Source organism: Homo sapiens, chromosome 4 (assembly GCF_000001405.40).
Source record: "Homo sapiens chromosome 4, GRCh38.p14 Primary Assembly".
NCBI lineage: Eukaryota > Metazoa > Chordata > Mammalia > Primates > Hominidae > Homo > Homo sapiens.
Window position 1 is genome coordinate 94,881,655 of NC_000004.12, and position 19,518 is coordinate 94,901,172.

General features: G+C 35.2%; 1 protein-coding gene across 6 annotated transcripts in view; it reads left to right on the forward strand.

The window, feature by feature from the left end:
- Positions 1-19,518, forward strand: part of BMPR1B (bone morphogenetic protein receptor type 1B) — a 400,496-nt gene that overhangs the window by 123,700 nt on the left and 257,278 nt on the right. The window contains exon 3 of one of the 6 annotated variants that reach the window (XM_017008559.2): positions 17,310-17,396. The exons of the other annotated variants lie outside the window; for them this stretch is intronic. The gene's annotated coding sequence lies outside the window, so the exon portion shown is untranslated. The remainder of the gene's footprint in view (positions 1-17,309; positions 17,397-19,518) is intronic. 6 annotated transcript variants of the gene reach the window in all.

The window sequence follows — 19,518 nt, forward strand, 5'->3', positions numbered from 1 at the left end:
GGGGTTTCATCACATTGGCCAGGCTGGTCTCGGACTCCTGACCTCGGTGATTCTCCCGCCTTGGTCTCTCAAAGTGCTGGGATTACAGGCATGAGCCACTGCACCTGGCCTAATATTTCGACCTTTCTAGGCCTTTTTTTCTTCAGCCATAAAATAAGGCTATTGGTTTCACCTCATCTGATGGCTAAGCTGCCTTTTAGCTCTAAAAATAATCTTTGTTAAATAGGCTGAGATATCCTGTAGTGGTTTATAAGTGAAAGGAAAGACTTAGGGGTAAGACAGTGTCTCAACCCTGGCTATGCACCTGGCTAAATTAATGAGGCTTTGGAAAATACCCGATTCTCATCTCTAAAAGATTGTGATTCTGGATTTCAAACTCAAGAATGTGTGAAAAGCTGTGTAGGGAATCTAATGGACAGCCAGTTTGGAAATACTGGCATGAAAAAGGTTCCTATGCTACTGTCCCCCTCACTGTTTTTTTCTTTTTTTTTCCATGGAAGGATAGAGGAGGATGACATCTTTCCATGGATTTTTTAATTAAAAAAATTATTTCCCCTTCCATAGAGGAATATTTTCTTCATAGCACGCAGAGGGAACATGATAGTCTTTTGTGTTTTTTCTCTTCTAGGATGCAAGAACAATTCTTTCACTAAATATATTTTATGTTTTCATATGGGAACAAGTATAGCTTTGCCTTAATCTTGGAAACAAGAAACTTTTTCTCTTCGTCAAAGTTTAGCTTGAGAGTGGGGAACAGGAGTAGAAATAACATAAATATTTAGCTGAAAATTGTGATTTTGCCTTTCACCTTTGGTGGTGGTGTTTGGTATAGCTGCCTTCTACTGTGCTAAGCACTCAGCATATGTTGTTTCATCTTATCTTGTCAATAACTCTTTAAAGCAGAGGAGATTTTATAATCCTCTTTTTGCAGATGAAGAAAATCAGAATCAGAGACTTTACTTACCTGATAACAGGTTAATCCAGCTAGAATTGGTAGGGTGGAGATTTGAATTTAGGTCAGTCTGACTTACAGTACTTTTGAAAGATACAGTGTTTGTGATTTTCATAGGGAGGGTCTTCAGATCTCCTTCTGCACCATGGGATAGAAGTAGAATTAATTGTTTTTTGTAAAGATTGTTTATCAGTTTTCATGGTTTCAAATGTGGGAATTCATGGTTTACAACATTATCATTGCTCTGATTTGGTTGGCAGTGCAAACTGAATCACCTTCAGAATGCTTAGAGGTAGGATCAGAACTAGCCCCAGGCTGAATTATCAAAAAGGGTGACCTTTTCTTTCCTGTGTGTGTGTGCGTGTGTGTGTATGTGTGTGTGTGTGTGTGTGTGTGTGTGTTTCCTTCCCTGAATTCCCTTGTGTTTTTAGCCTGCACCCAATTCTCAGTGCAGGGTTCTTTCTACTCATCTGCCTTTGCAGGTGTCATCCCAGAGAGCCTTGAAAATAGACTTCGAAAAGTGACTGAGCTCACCTCCCTTCTTCCACTGATGAGAGAACTGTATCAGCTGGATTCTAGTCCAGAGCTGTTTGTTTATTATAAAGTGATGTGCATCTGAGGGAGAGAGTGTCTGTGAACTCTCTGAAACTACATGCCGGATTTCTGTGTGTGTACATTTTCTAGCCCATAGCTTTATCAGAGTCTCAAAGGAGTCTCTGTTCAAACAAGACAAAACAGAGTTTTTGCATCCTATCATGTTAACATTATAGATGGCCTTATCTTATATTCTCTCTCTGCTACTAATCAGATACTACTGTGATAGCTTATTCTCCAAGGATCTCATATTCATTACTCATCCACATGCTCATTTCTTTGTTGTTTACACCCTTTCTCTATTTTACAAAATATTTGAGGTTGTTTATGTAAAAAAATCAAGCAGCTCATTAATAACTTAATTTGTTTTTTATCTAAAGAGAATGTATTTTATAATTCAATATATATATTAAGGAATATATTATATATGTATTAAGGAATATATTCTGTAATACATATTAATGTGCTAATAATTATTTAGTCCCTTTGAAGTATTAAAGATATGTCAATAAATTGCATCAATTTGCAGTTAAGCTATTGTTAGACTAAGGGTAAAGCAGATGATTTTTCAGTAATCCTTTGAGGAACATGTGATTTTTTTGATTCATGTCTCTATTCTTCATTAAGCTCAAAGTTTCACAAGTAGATGGACTGTTGATTCCCTAGAACCTACCAGAGTATTTGGCACTTAGTAATTGTGTTGAATACCCATTTAACAGAATACTCAATTCCACCCCTAGCTAGCCCTCAAATTTTGTCAACTTTTAGTCATTTTTACTGTCAGTACCTTGATCCAAGGGCACTATCATCTTTTGCTTTAAACTACTGTATAACTTACAGCCTGCTAAAAGAATATTTTTCTGACTCTAATCTGCTTCATGCCAATCTAACGTCCCCCTTGAAGTCAGAGTGGTCTTCCAAGGTTTCAAAAGTAATGATCTAACTTCCTCAATTGAAAGCCTTTAGTAGATTTTCAGTGCCCTTTGGAGTAAACGTCTTAACTAACTGCCTACTGTTCCAGTTTCATATAAAAAACTGACCTCGGCTGGGCGTGGTGGCTCATGCCTGTAATCCCAGCACTTTGGGAGGCTGAGATGAGTGGATCACTTGAGGTTAGGAGTTCGAAACCCGCCTGGCCAACATGGTGAAACCCCATCTGTCCTTAAAATACAAAAATTAGCTGGGTGTGGTGGCAGGAGCTTGTAATTCCAGCTGCTTGGGAGGCTGAGGCAGGAGAGTCACTTGAACTCAGGAGGCTGAGGTTGCAGTGAGCCAAGATGGTGCCATTGCACTCCAGCCTGGGAGACAGAGCGAGACTCTGTCTCAAAAAAAACAAAAAGCTGACCTCAAGTCAGTTAAATGGAGGATACTTTCAAATTGGATAAGAGTTGTAACCACCCTAGGGAGGTTCTTGAGTTTCTCATAACCTTATTTAGGTGTTAATAAAATTTTCAGACATGAATAAGATGGCATCTTATGAAATATCAACTGCAAACATACATTTTATACTTACAGATTATGATTGAGTAAATGCAGCAATGCCCCCAAACTTCCCTTCTCCATGTATCTAACACTCTTTGCAGTAAGACTTCGTAGTTGTTCCTATTAAGAAGTGAAGTCTGTTTTCCCAGCTCTTGAATGTGGGCTGGTCTTGTGATTTGCTTTAGCCAATAGAGCACAGCAGAAGTAATGGTGTACCAATTCCCAGCCTGGGCCTTAAGAGGTCTTGCTTGCTTCTGTTCCCTTTGGAACTCTGTTACTGCTGTGAGCACGTGAACAGGCTCACTTGGTGGAAGGGGAGCAGCTAAATGGAGCAGAGCCAAGTCATTTTACTTGAGTCTGGCCCTCTCAGACCAGCCGTCAGCCAGCTGACCAAAAATGTGTTAAGACAGAACAGCCAACATCAGCAGAGCCACCTACCTAACTTGTACCTGACCACACATGCTTGAGGGAACCCAGCTGAGACCTGAAGATCCTTCCATCTTGATCCATAGACTCATGAGCAATTAATGTTTGGAGCCACTGAGTTTTAGGGTAGCTTATTTTTGCAGCAGTAGTAAACAGATAAACAGATATTAGTGCCTTTTCCACCTAGTCACTGAGAAGATGACTAAGTAAAAAGGAGCAAGTTGAAGATGTTGCTTCTTTATTTAGCACATCATTATTATTGCGGTTTAGAAAGATTTGACAAATGCATTTGCCTGTTTCTAAGAATTTGCATAGAATGGTAGAGTTTGGACATTTTCCTATTCTGATTTGTTTTAAAAACCATTATAACAGAATACAAAATATCTTTGTTTTTTAACTGCAGCCATTGGTGCTAACATATTTATCACCAGGGAAGAAACTTTATTTTTCAAACTTCAGGGAAAAAAAGACATTTTGCCAAAATGCCTGACCACTTTGTGGTTTTTGAAGGAAATGTTAAGTTTATATAGAAAAAGGACATGACTTCCATTTCTGGCATTATGGCAGAACAAATATTTTGAAAAAAATCATCTAGGATTTAAAAATATATGTAATCTAAAGAGCTCAATCTAATTATTTAATATAATTGTAAAACATATTGCTGACCTGGAAAGATACTAAGCTAAATCTTCAGAAGAAGAAATAAGAAAACATGAATCCAGAAAAATACTGGATCTGACCAAGCCCTGGTCACACAATCCTGGAAATGTAGCATTCACAGTGAAAGGATGTACTTGGAACAAAACTTTCCCTTCAGAAGGAAGGTTAGTAAATGTGGAAAAAATGAAGAACACAAAGTAAGATGATAGAAATAAATTCAAATATATCTTTAGTTACAATAAATGTAAAGGTACTGCACTTTTTAGTTCCAAGACAAAGATTGTTAACACTGCATTTCCAAAAATCCAGGTATATGCAGTTTGTAAGTGCTATGCCTAAGTTATAAATTTAAAAATGGTTAAAAATAACAAGTGAAAAATAATATATCAGCCAAATAATAATCAAAAGTAAGCTTGGATAGATATAGTAAGAAATAACACTTTAAGAATGAAAAGCATTGCTACAGATTAAAAAGACTATTACAATTTGATAAAAGATTAAAATATTCTGAAAGATACAGTTTCTAATTTATATCTGAAGTCTGGTTTAAATTTTTTTATAAAGCTAAAATTAACTGAATTATAAGGGGAAGTTAACAAATTTTCAGTAGGAGATTTGAGCATAATGTTCTCTGTTAATGATTGACCAAGCAGGTCTTAAATCTGTAAGCATGTTGGAAAGTTGAGCTCTACAAATACTGCACTTGATATAATGGCTTTATGTTGTATATTATGCTACAAAATTGTTGAATACACATTCTTTTAAAAGTCATGGGACATGTTTTAAAAAATGACCACCTACCTTCCAGATAACTGAAGACAGTGGAGAGTTGGTAGTACAGTAACCTCTTCAAATCTCCTCCCCAATGGATATGAAATTAATTTACCACTAATAAATTTCTATTCAAAAATATACACTCAACATCACTTGAAGACAGAGAATGACATGACTGCAAAATAACTGTAAGTTCTGCAGTCCTTCATACTCCTGCCCCTTTCCTGTCATGCTGCAGTGCTTTGTGGTATACACACAGAAACTGGGAATCACTTAGGGAGGAAGAAGAGGGACACTGGCAAGGGAACTTAAGGAACAGTTGGAGAGACCACTGTATAGGTCAGATATACCTCAAATCTGAAAATACCGAAAAAGAAACTGGGAAGATGGGATGAAGATTGTGGGAAAAGGTTTCAAAGTATGTGCTATTTAGAGGGTCAAATTAACAATTTTATGGGACAGTCCTCCAATTGCATTGCTTTTCAGGGAGGGGATAAAAGGTAAAAAGGAACGAAGAGCGATTCTTTGGCAATGAATGGGAAAGGAGAAAAGAAGGAAAAGGGTTAAATTAGGGTTCTGTAAAACAAAGGAGAACCACAAACTTGGAGGACTCAACTCTTCTCCCCTACTACTAAAACAAATAAACGTATAAAAGAAATAATTTTGCTGACACCTGGAATTTGCCAGATTGACCAAAAAAAAAAAAGGTGCCTTTAAACTAGGAATTGTGTAAAATATCCTCACATCACAAAATAAAAAAAGGAAAATAAAAAATCATACAAATCTATTGAAAAAGATCAGATAGTGAATTTTCATACAAATCAATGGAGGGAAATACCACCTTCACCCCCACCCCCCACCAAAAAAAAAAAAAAAAAAAACAAGAAGCAGAAGAAAACTGTGTCTACATTCTAAACATTTAAATATACTCAAACATTTAGGTATAAGAAAAATACCTTTAATCAGAAATTTAAAAATTAAAAACAAATAGAAAAAGCAGGGAGAGATGAAAAACTACTGTATTGAACTTGGTAAATAAATACAAGAAAATGACAAAATTATCTCAAAAATGAAGATAAATTACAGAACACCCAAGAGAGAATAGATTCAAATGAAAATTAATAAGCGGCATCAAAGAAAAACAGGAAAAAGACCAAGAGGATACAAATGACACGAAGCAAAATGGGTCATAGAGAAAGTGGTGGAAATGGAAGACTGGCAATAAAGGAATAATACTTGTATTACTTGACTCTCTGAAGAAGAAAAACAATAATTCACAAAACCAATATTTAAAACTATAATCCAAGAAAATTTTTCAGAAATAGAAAAAAATCGGAATCCCTATATATTGAAAGAGCTTACATGGGCAAATTAACCCCAAACAATAAACTTGGAGATTTAGCCTGTTTCAACAATGATCATAAAATTCTAAGGGCTAACAGGCAAAAAGAGTGTGTCATCTACCAAAGGAAAATAATTAGACTAGCATTAGCTATTGAAAACCAATATTCAATACAAGGAAACAATGGAACAGTTTTGTTATTGTTATTATTTTTTATTTTACTCAGTGAAATAAAGTGGCAATCAAGAATTTTGTATCCAAACTATTTTTCAATTTACAAGGCTTTAGAAAAGTAGTTTTCAACATGTAAGAGTTTATGGAATTTTCTATCAATTCTTCCTGAGGAATCTATTAGAGCATGAGCTGTATCCATCCAAATCATGACTAGGAAAACAGTAAAATGACTGATGGTGAGTATTTAAAAATAAATAAATATGCATTATAAGACTAAAAAGTAGAGATGAGATATGCCAATTAAATCAGAGAAGAGGGGAAAAGAAATGAAAATAGAAAAAGATCTTTGTTGTGTAGGCAATATTCTACTGTAGGCAGATGTTAAAGGACCATATGATTTTTCATAATAGCATGAATAATAACAATGATAATAATGATACAAAGCACTTACTATGCACCAGGCACTGTCCTAAACACCTTCTAAACATTATTTAATTTTTTCACAATTATAAGAGTTGGGTGCTGATATTGATCATTTTACAGATAAGGAAACTAAAGCAGAGAGAGATTAAATAGTACCTTGGTCCAAAGCTGGTAAGTGATGAAGCTGGGATTGAGGCAAAGGAAGGCTGACTGTAAATTTTTGCTTGCACCCATAAACTAAGTGACCCAGTAACCTGACTTTTCTAGGCTAGTCCCAATTGCAGATATTTTGTTGTATGATTATTTACATGGTAGGAAATTATTTTATCAATTTTATTGTTAGAAATGCTATTAATGATATACTTCTAATATATCATGATATATCATAATGATATATCTCCAAGGAAATCATATCTCTAAGGAAACCATTGTTTCTTACACTGGAAAAGCAAGACACTATAAAAACATTCTAAAATTTGTAATACATAATATAAAATTTCAATAGTTTTTATAAATGAGATACAGGTTTTAAGAGTCTTATTTTTTCTTATTTTAAATATATACTGGAGCCTCAAAGAACCAGAAAGAAATTTATAATAAAGAGGAATAGGATGTCAGTACCAGGAGCCTCTTGCTGGGGATCCAAGAGAGGCCTCCTAATTAATTTTTATTGTAAATTTTAACAATGGCGATGTTTCAAATGTGTTATCTAAAAGGGAACTTAATGGAGTTTTAATAGTGATATTTTATTTTTTGTCTTCCTATATTTTTATCGTAATTTGCCTGTGATTAACATTTTTTCCAGTAATAATACTGCAAAATAAAATATCTAGAATTAATCTTGTATATGATAAGCATTTTCTGAGCCAAACATTTCTAGGCCCTGCGTCAACTCTGTAGTATCTCTGTTTTTCAGATAAAGAAACGGATGCTCTAATTGACAAAGTGAAAACAAGTTAAGATTGAAATTGGGGTTTGTACAACTCCAGAGCTCATGCATGTTCTCTCTGTACTGCTGTAGTTTTAATTCTTTCTCAAAAGGTGTTTATCAAAAACAAATAAAAGGTGTTGTGCTTTGTTTTGATATGAGCGGAAGGGCTCATTAGTTCTGTGCCTCCTTCCTTTTTTCATTGCTCCTGCTGTCCTGCAGAGAACTTTCCCATGCAGAATAGCCATAATATACCACAGCCTTCATGTTCCAAAAAGGGAAACCTGAGAAGGAGCCACAGTCTTCCTGCAGGCAACAGATGGTTACTGTTTAAATGAGGGTAAACTCTGGATCTCATCTGTGAAGTGACTCTAGGTTTTTTGGGTGGGTGGTTTGGGGAGTTAGGTCAAAGGAACAAGCTAGTAACAAGATTTAGGAGGAGGAGGAAGAAGAAGTAAACACACCAAATTTGTCTGTAGCTTTTTTTGCCCTTATATACTCTTTAATCATAGTCACATGGCAGGTTGTATTTTTCTGACCCCTCCTCTACCCCAAATAGAGGGAGAGGAATGAAGGGAGGGCATGGCAGGCTGTTGAAATTTGTAGTGTGTTGGCATCTAGCAAGTGCGTTTTGCTGTGGGGTAAGTTCTGTGGCTTGTTTTCTGTCTTCGTGAATAGAGCCTTTCCAACTTTGCCAAGCCTACAGTTAATGTGGTCAAGGGATTTATTATGAAATGTACTAAATCTTGGCGTGGAGCTAATTGCATATAACAAGAAGCCTGCTAGAGGCTTGGACCTGAGAAGTGACACATGCAAAAAGCATTCTCTTTCTGATGCTGCTGAAAGAGGTTTTGTGTAGGGGAATGTCTGCATGTCTGCACTTATTGCTAATGAGGTAACCCCCTCTCCCCCAAAGCTTATTTCTGAGTTACTTGTTAAATAAATGTAAAATTCTCTCTCTCTTTCCTTCTTCCCACTTTTATGAACAATTGGCAATTGAAGAATTGATATTTATTTACTAACTCCACTTCCAAACCTCTTAATATTATAAAAATACATTTGTGGCTGTAAATTACATGAGTGTAATTATGACCTAGAATAATTCTAATGTAAAAGTATAAAAGTCAATCAGAGAAGTTGTACTAGTCTTCTTGGGCTGCCGTAACGAAATACTTTAGAGTGGGTGGCTTAAACAACAGAAGTTTATTTTTTTCCACAGTTCTGGAAGCTGAACGTTTAAAATCAGGATGCTAACATGGTTGGATTCTGGTGAGGTCTCTCTTTCTAGCTTACAGACTGCCACCCTCTTACAGCGTCCTTACGTGGTGAAGAGAGACAGTGCATGCTCTCTGGTGGCTCTTCTTGTAAGGGCACTAATCCCATCATGAGGGCCCCATCCTCATGATCTCATGTAAACCTAGTTACCTCCCAAAGGCTCCATTTCTGAGTACCATCACATTGGGGGTTAGGACTTTGGAATATGAATTGGGGATGACACAATTCAGTCCATAGCAGAAGTGGTTAAAGGAAAGGACCAACATTGCATTTTTTTTAGTTCAGCATGTGCCCCTAAAACTTAATTTATTTTAAAATGTAGTTGGAAAATAGTAATTGGAAAACAGTTTTTTAACCTTTTCTATTGTTGCAATTTTGTTGTCTATATCTTCTCATAGCTTTATTGAGATATTATCTTTATATTTCTCACAATATCCTAATATGTGCATTGTACATAGTAAGTGGTTAGTATTTGTGTGGTACATTAAACACTTAATAGCTTGTTTGGTAACTTAAACACTTTCCCACTATACATTCCACTTACATCTTATTGCTGAAATGTACAGAGATAAAGCAATAAAACTTGGTTCTATGAAACAATCACATCCTCTTTTGAATATTATGAGAAGTAATTTTCTGCAGATAAATACTCTTGGATTCTGATAACAAAAGCCTATTAACAGATACATATATGAAAAATAAATGTGAAGTTTTATTCGTATCTTCTAGTAGTTTTTGTACATGTAAAATTAAGACTTTGAAACTTAAAAGGTAAATGATACTTAAAAGTAAAAACTTAAGAAGTATTATAGTGGCTTTCATCATATGGTTAACAGTGATCTTTTCGGTACTAGTGGTTTTTGAAGTGGCAGTAATCCTGAGCTTAAAACAGTAGTGGCCACACATTCTAATCCTGGCACAGCAAAAAGGAAATGTTGGAATGGCAGCGTATGTAGAATTAGGAAAAACTAAACAAAAGGTAACATTCAAAAATGGAATAGCATAGGGATTGTATGACTCCTAGAACATTGCAGATTTATTAATATCTAGGGCTTACCAGATCAGTTACAATTTTGATCAAGTGCCTCAAATTGGCATTGATGAGGATGATAAAAACTTCATGCTTTACAGAGAAAGAATGGTTTGCCTGTTTGTTTATTCATTCATTCAGCATTTATATATTGAGGCTCTCTTGTGTTTGAGGCACCATGCCAAGCCCTGTGCCAAAGAGACAAATCAGTGATAGTTTTTACCCTCAAGTACTTAATTTTTTAATTTACTTTAATATTAAATTGAGTCCCTCTGACATATAAAGCACTGTCTTGGGGCTGTACTTGCAAACTTCATTAAGAGTGGTCCTTTTCAAAAAAACTCATGTCTCATTTAGGGAAATTCACATAAACTCGTAATTGCTCGTAGTTTTTAAGTTTAATAAGTTGAGGTTTGGTGCCAGGTCTAAATGGAGGTTAACATCCCAGAGGAACATACGGCTTTCTAAACAATTCACCAAGTCTGGAATGTGTTGTCCCAGTAGATTACGTTCTTGCTACCCACAGGGTGGTTGGTCTGGGAACCAACAGCAGTGCCACCAGCTGTGAGCTTACTGGAAATGCACGTTTCACCCCAGACCCACTGAATCTGAATCTACCTTTTAATAAGATCTCCACGTGATTTATATACGTGTTAAAGTTAGAGGAGCTTTAATACAAGATTTAACTTGTAGTTATAATTATGTGAGATGAGATTTTATCTGATCTCATAGTTGAGCTGTTGTTTGTTCATATATACTTTTAACAAGCATTTATTGAACACAAGGATTTATTGAACAAGTATGATGTACTGTACCGGGAGCTGAAGACCAAAAAAAGGGTAATATTTAGTCATGTTTAATCATTAAATAAATTCTATAACCCAGTAAAGAAGTAATTCTATTGGTATGGAGAGTAAGGAGACTTTACAGAAGATGTGATACTTGAACTGGACCTTTAAAGACCCACAAGCATTTGTTTAGTGAGAGATGGAGAAATATCCCAGATCATTTTCTCAGGTTTCATTTAACTATCAGCTTTTGAGTAGGTGAATTAGTAGAGGTGTAGTTTGTTGAAAATCTTTTACAATTTATTAGGTAAGCTTCCAACTCAAGTTTTGTATATTTTAATGCATTTTGTCAATGGTATGTGAATGTACTATTTCCTGAGGAAATGTGGGATAACGAACTTTGGAGTTCAGTTTGAGTAATTTTATATTCTGAGCTTCAGTTTGTTCATCTGTAAAGTGGGGATATCAGTCCTGCAGGGTTTTCATGAAGATTGCAGGAGCAAAAAATCTAGCACTATGAAGTTCAGTACATTTAAATTGTTGTTAATGATTATAAGAACAATTTTAGGTTTTTTTTGGTATAGTGTCACTAACTTGTATTAGCAAAAGGAAAATATAATGTGAAATATGCTTAAAATAAAAATCTTCCTTTATAATATAAATGAATATAAAACATGAAAAGATTAAAAAATGAAAAATAATGAGTCATAACATCTGAAATAATATTTTCTCCTTCTGGAAGAGGCAGACTTGCAAACCTAACATTCTCCTTTGGCTCTAGACTTTGCACTTAGTGTTTATAGTCCATCCCAGGAAAGGCCTTCTCTGTCTGTAGTAATGGACCATTTCCGTCTTTCTTAATGAGGCTTTACCTCAATGCCTTTTAAATATTAGAAAGCAAATTTGTGTGAAGTGGACTCTTCCCCATGTTGTGTATGGGCTTCCCAAGAAGAAATACGTGCATATGTTCTTAGAGAAAATATGACTTCTCTTGTTCTTTTTTTTAAAAATTTCACAAATTTGGGACACACATTTTAGTACCATGCTAATAAAGACTGGCTGGTTCTTTCTCATATAAAGAGAAATTTAAATTGGCTTTCTCTAATCAGTGAGAGAGAAATGTTCCTTATTCAACACTCAGGAACTGGGTTTGTGCGTTCTATAGCTGCAGTCTCACATGACTTGAGGTGAAATTTCTTGGTGCCTTTCCATTCCTATAAAATGGTGTTCTGAGAACCACCAGTAGAAGGCAAAATGTAAATGGATGATATTAAACAAACAAACAAACAAACAAAAAGGTGGAAATGGTGGAGAGAACCCACTGCTGCGTGGCAGTGTTTGAAATGGATAACAACATAAAGTGGGCTGTGGTATAAAATTTGAGTCCCACAGTGAAATGTGCTACTCAAGGTAAACAGTTCAGTTTTGTTGTCCTTGGCAGTTCTTGAGAAACTTGTCATGTTAATGTAATTATTGAAATTGAATTTGGAAATTGTAATGTTGCTCTCGTATTTCACTTAAAAACACTGCTGCTAACGCCCACCTTGAAAGGGATCACATATATCTCATAAGCAGGGCACTGCTAATATTTTAGTTACCCCATAGGAAGGATAGTGAAATGAAATACTGTAAAAGCACAACCAGTCTGCATTTTCTTTTCCATGCTTTTTTCCAACGAGATGCATAATGCAAAAATAACCCACTACCCAAGTGCTCTTTACAAATACACAAATGGTACTCATTGTGTGTTGGAGATCACCCTGGGTCTCTGTGACCTTGGCAACATTTCAGGGGTTACATTTTCACATAGATCAACTGTTCTTGAATAGTTTCTCCAATATATTGGCACAGACCAGCTTTTCTTAAACAGTAAGCATTTATACCTTCTTTCCCCACCTTTTTTCCCTCAACAAACATAGCCATTATGGCCTTTAAAAGAGAGAGAGAGAGAGAGAGAGAAAGCGAGAAATCCCTAATTACCATTTACATAGGAGTTTCCATATAGTCTCAGGGCAATGTTGTGATATCTGATCTTGGTCCACATTTTTTCCTTATTTTATTTTAAAGGATTGACTTTTTAAGGATTTCCTTTTGAGAATACTCTATTTTGCATATTGTTCCCAATAGAACGGTTTAAAAGATATTTGTAAAACTAGGCATTTATTTTCCCTGAGATATCTTTTGATCATTTTTCTAAAAGGGAATTGTTGATTTGATTTTTTGTTAGTTTGGAATTATTTGAGGAAAGTAAACTTGTTGTATTTCTTCAGACTTGGTTTTCTTGGGCGCTGAATACTGAGAGAAGCAGCTCTGTATGCTAGTTTGTTTTTTTTTTCTTTCACATCTTAACATACTTCTTTAAATGGCTGTATAAATAACATAAGTTCCTTTGATCACTATTTGATTTTTAAAGTTGTTTTAAATTCATGATGAAACTACTAATTTCCTCCTTTGGGTTCTCTGAGTATTAGGCAGAAAAGTTATTCTGCAAGTACCATGATACAGAAGAATAACAGTAGAGAAGAAAATAGTTAATATTAATGTCTCTTAAGTTCTTCAATGCATCTTCACGTTGGAGAGACTTGATAGTACCATGTTCAACTTTTAATGTAAACAAGTATCACAAAATTCTTTTTTCTGCTTGATTTTACAGTTGTATGGCTAGTCCAAAGTTGAAAATGTGTTTGTTCTTGAAAGAAAAATGTCCCTCATTGCTTGGATTAATGGTGCTTTAAGACGTGTTTATTCAAAGATGGCAGCACAGAGGTGAATAGGCTAAATGCTCTACATTAGACATCATTGTGTCTTTCACAACAGATGCAGTCAGTGAACTGTTTATATAGCTGCCTTAAATTTTTCTTTGATTTATAATCTATGAGAAAATGGAAATGTTTGTCTTTTTTTTAACAAAACCTTGGAGATTTTAGACAAACGTATCTAGTATTCTAAAAACCAATTCATGAAGAAGTCTCAGCCTGCTGCACTTCAGCTCTGTTGTTAAATTACATATTCAGGTTCTTTTAAGAATTGTTCTAATAGGCAGTTGAATGAAGAAAAATTATTTTGATTTTGGTATGTTAGAGGCAATTCATTTGTTAAATGTGAACTTATGACACTTCAAAATAATTATTAAGAAATATCTTGGTATTTATGAGGTGTGTGACATCTTTTTTTTTTTAAAAATAGGCTCTATATAGCATATAATTATTAAACAAAACAATTAGAATTTTTTTCTAAACTCATGTTTCTTTTTGTTTGGTTATTAGAATCATCTTGTTAGTATTCTAAAATAGATGGAAGTGATCAGACTAGATGCTTTAGTTAATGCTAAAACTGTGATACAAACACACAAGTGATAAAAGGAAAGGAAACTAACCAATGTATGGCTATCTTTAGGATGTCTTGAGAGAGCTTCTGTTAGCATTTGAGTTAAATTCTTCTGGCGACACAAATATACATATATATTTAATACACTTTTTGTGAACTTTCTCACCAGTATGACTTTTTAGGTGTAACTAGCAATCTTTTAGCAAGGATAGCAGTAAAACTTTCTACTTCTACAGATTTATTTTTCGTTCAATGACGTACTCCTAGTTAAAAGCTCTTTTGGGATTTGTAAAAATATATCTTTGCTAATACTAACTCAAAGGGTGAAAATGAATAATATCTTTCTTTAGGAGTTTGAAAAAAGTTTATCCTCTTGTTGCTTTGTTGAAGTTGATGTAACTTCTCAAATTAGTCATATATAAGTCTGTGCATATATACGTAGCCCAAGAGTACATTATTTTTGACAGTTAAATCTAGGCTTGATGATCAAAGTATCTGTTTCAGTACAGAAAAATATTTGAGAATGAAGATTTTTATTAACATTTGAGAGATGACTTTATGTGATTAATGTTTTAATACCCTGAGTTTGCTGAATTAAATCTGAAAGTTGAAAATTAGCTTGAATTTGACTATGATCCTTTTTTCACCAGTTAATTATGTAATTTCTTTGATTATATGTTAATGCTGGGAACTTCTCAAGCTCAAAACAGTGTAAAAAAATAGAGCTCCCTAGAGCATATGTATAAATATAAAATACCTATGAATTGGTTCTATAATCCTGAATGAAAATGTAAACATTTTGAAAGAAACCCAATTTGTAATTATAACTTTTTTTGCATGTTTTTAGGTAGACTTTTGCAGGAGTTATTTTTTCATTTGTTCCTAAAAGTGAAAATACAGGTATAAGCAAGCCTTTGTAGAAAATTATTGGCTCTTAGAATATGTGACTATTTTAGAAAATGATTAAGTGCCAAAGTAAGACCCTATTGTAAGGAGAGGCTTGGATCAATAAGTTAATATAAACTATATCCTGAATCAAAAATAAGTGAAATGAATAGAGGGTACTGCTTTGAAAGATTTAGTATCTCCATAGTATTTATGATTACTGTATGTTTAGTAGGCAACATTTATGAAAGTATGATTTATTTATACTTTGGCTTGTTCATGAATCTGAAAGGATCCTAGGGAAGCCTGAGATATTTTTCCTCACAGGCTTTGCATATGTAAATATCCGCCAGTCAGAGTGGGTTTGAGGCCTTGACCTTGTTTTTCTGAAGCTCTCTGATAAGAAGAGCTGCCTGCTCTCCATGACAAGGTCTGGCCCTGCTGCTGCACCATCACCTTGGAAAGGGGGATTAAAGCCCCAGTCTGGAATGACATGACTTGGCTTCTGTCCCAGCTCTTCCTGCTTATATAGGATGACCCTGCGTGGACTCCGAAACCTTTTGTGCCTTGGGTGCTCCCAATGTAAATAAGCGATAGTGTTATCTATTCCCGCGTGACTCATGGATATTCAAAATCATTATAGATAATGCGATGCATTGAAAGGCATTTGGGAATTTTGGCTGTTAAGGTACTGTTCTTCTGTCTTTCATTCACCCAGAAAATTGGAGCATTTGCATCTGCCAATTACCCTTTTGTAGTCCTCGCTTACCACCGAGTATCTGGTGTAACTTAGTAAACTGTTAAAAGAATTGAAATAAAGAAAAAGTTAGCTATAATCTTACATATTTCTTTTTTTCTATGAATTTTAAATGAGAAAGGCAATAATGTACATGTTCTTCTGTATGTTGCTTTGTACATGTAATAGTATAACATAAGGGTTTTTTTGTTTTGGTCCAGATTTTTTGTAAACATTATTTTTGATAGATGTATAAGATGTTCAGCCAAGAAGACATACTGTGGCTTACTTAGCTCTTCTATACTTGGATGTTTAGATTGTTTCTAGTTTTTGATATTATGAGGTGTGTGTTATGAGAGGAACATCTTAATTTATAAGATTTGATCTGATTTGGGTATATATTCTTAGTATTGGTTCTTAGCAACAAAATTACTGAGTCCAAGGGTAGGAGTACTTTAATGCTCTTGATAATTACTGACAAATTCTTTTCCTTTTTTTTTTTTTTTTTTTTTTTTGAGACTGGGTCTTTCTCTGTTGCCCAGGCTGAGTGCAGTGGCACAGTCATGGCTCACTGCAACCTCAAACTCCTAGGCTCAAGGGACCCTCCTACCTCAGCCTCCTGAATAGCTGGGACTACACGTGCATGCTACCATACTTGGATTGTTTTTTAAAAATTTTTTTCTAGAGATGGGAGTCTCACTATGTTACCCAGGCTGGTCTTTAACTCCTGGCCTCAAGCTGTCCTCCTTCCTCAGCCTCCCAAGGGGCTGAGATTGCAGGCATGAGCTACCAAGTGCAGTCCTGACAAGTTATTTTCTGAAAGATTTTAAATGTAGTTTAAATTTGCTACTTAGACTAGATATTCTCTTCTTGGCTCTGACACTTTGATATGGTTTGGCTTGCCCCCATCCAAATCTCATCTTGAATTGTAGTTCCCATAATCGTCACTTGTCACGGGAGGCACCTCATGGGACATGATTAGATTATGGGGGCAGTTCCCCCATGCTGTTCTTGGGGATAGCGAGAGACTTCTCATGAGATCTGATGGTTTTACAAGGGGCTTTCCTCTCCTTTGCTCAGCGTTTCTTTTTCCTGCCACCATGTGAAGAAGGACGTGTTTGCTTCCTCTTCCACCATGATTGTTAGCTTTCTGAGGCCTCCCAGCAATGTGGAACTGTGAGTCAATTAAACTCTTTTCTTTGTAAATTACCCAGTCTCAGATATTTCTTCATAGCAGTATGAGAACAGACTAATATACACTTTAAACACTTCATTTTTCTAGGCCTGGTTCTTTCAAAAATACTTCTCAGACTCTCCAGCACACTAAAATAGGATCATTCATTTCTCTCAAGTGGTTGTGGGTCCCTCTCTCTCAAATTTATTAATGTAATCAGAAAGTTCAGTACATTATCCTGAGGTAATAGCTTGTATAGTTGTATTAATTTCTTGAAGCTGCTGTTACAAATTACACAAATTTAGTGGATTTAAACAACTGAAATGTATTCTCTCATAGTTCTGGAAGACCAAAGTCCAAAATCGTTGTCCCTGAGTTGGAATCAAGGTGTCAGCAGGGCTGTGCAACCCCTGGATGTTCTAGGAGGTAACTCATTCCTTGCCTTATCCAGCCTCTGGTGGCTGCTGGCATTCCTTGGCTTGTGGTTTGCATCGGTCTAGTCTCTTCCTCTCTGGTCACATTACCTTCTCTTCTTCTGTGTGTGCAATTTCCCTCTGCCTCCCTCTCATGAGGACACGTGGTGGCATTTAGGGCCTATGTGGATAATCTAGGATAGTCTTCCCACCACAAAATCCTTAATCTAATCACATCTCCACAAACTCTTTTTTAAAATAACATAACACTTACAGGTACCAGCCATTAGGACCTGACTTTTCAGGCCACTACAACTTTTCAGGCCACTACAAAGATGAGTAAGATAGTTTGACTAATGCTTTGGATTTTCTTTAAATCATATATGTATATATATACACACACACATACACACACACATATATATTTAAATCATATATATTATATATAAATCATATATATATGATTTATATGACACTTCTGGGAAATTATATGGTTGAATATGAAGTGCAAATATGAATATAAAGATGTGAAGGCTTCCGATAGTATTATCTCTTCCTAGTAATATATGACCTCCTGTTAAATGTGGTATATTTCTATTTTTTGAGATGCAGCAAAAGAAGCGTTGATGTTTTATAACTGGTGTTTAAGAAAGTTTTCATTAGAAACGTGAAATTTCCTAATTCAAATTCATGAAAATTTGAGAAAATTTATTATAGCCACTGTCAAAGTTAAGGAGGAAATTAAAACTTTTCCTTTTGAAATGGGAATGTCTGTACTGGAATTAAACTGAGCATGTTTTCTCCCTATAAATACTGTTGATGTCAACTAAGTTTCCCTGTTCGCCCACACATGGTACAATTATAGTTTCAGGTATATATTTCTGACAATCTATACCAGGCACAGAGCTTGCTATTCGAATTACCACCGTACAGTTCTAGAAAATAGCAGGTTGTCACTTCTAGATTTGCAGCAAGAGAGAGGAACTTAAAGAAGGTGGGAGAAAAGGCAAGGGTTAGAAATAACCTGCCAGTTCTAATCCTCAGAATCTTTGCATAAACAAGATTGGAATGAAAACAGGATTTTTTTTTTTTAATTTGGAAACCTGTAACTTATCCAGTCATAACATTCCATGCTGAGTGCATGCACATTTTAGAAAGACACCACAGTGTAATGCGCTAGGTTCCCAAATCTGCTTCAGTGCTGGCTTTGTGTATAACTTGAACCTAAGATGTCAATTAGCTGGATGGTGTATTTTTACATAGCATCCGGTAACATGGAAATAGAGGATAAAGTGGCCAGCAAAAAAAAAAAAAAAATAGCCTAACAGAAATAAGTTTTAAGAACATTTTACATGTTAATCAGAGTGTTAAGTTCTGTATTTGTAAATGCAAAATTGTAAAGGCACAATTTAAGTTTTAATTTGTACATACAAATATGATGATGACTTCAGAAATTTTCAATGCCTAGTCTCAGCTAAATACAATGCAAGTGTATTAAAAACAAGGGCAGAGTTTCAGAATAAGGAAAGTTAACAAAAGCAATTTAAAATAAGTCCTAAACCTGATTATTTTGTTCAAGAGTACAGATATATATGTTATTTGAGGCAGAAGTTGGGACAGCATAGAAGCTGTCTGTATTATTTGAATAGTCAGAATATCAAGTAGTAAGCAATTTGATTACTTTTTAGGGGTGTGGAAACAATTTTGTTAATTTTGTTATGGCAAATCTTGGGAACCCAAATAACTTACCAAAAAAGGGTATACTTCTAGATGTTTTAAAAATACATAGTCCTCACCCATATCTCTGGAATCTTTGAGACAGTTTACCAAACAGTAAAGCAAAAACCAACCTGAAAACAAAAAGCACCAAATAAAGTTGCCCAAAAAATATGCCCCAAGAGTGTCAGACCTCCCGTGATGCTAAGCTTTGCACATCCATTTGAAAAGTAGACTAAGGTCTTGTAACACTGATGGTTCCAACCCTGGAACCCCTTGGGCAGAGGGCCAGTTAGGTGTCCTTTTCTGTTAATACTTTGTGCAGGGTTGGTAGGGGCCCTCAGCTCATAGGTTGAAACTCAAACAAGTATTCTCTGCTTCCTGGGTACATTGGTCATTGAAGAGATTTAATGTTTCCA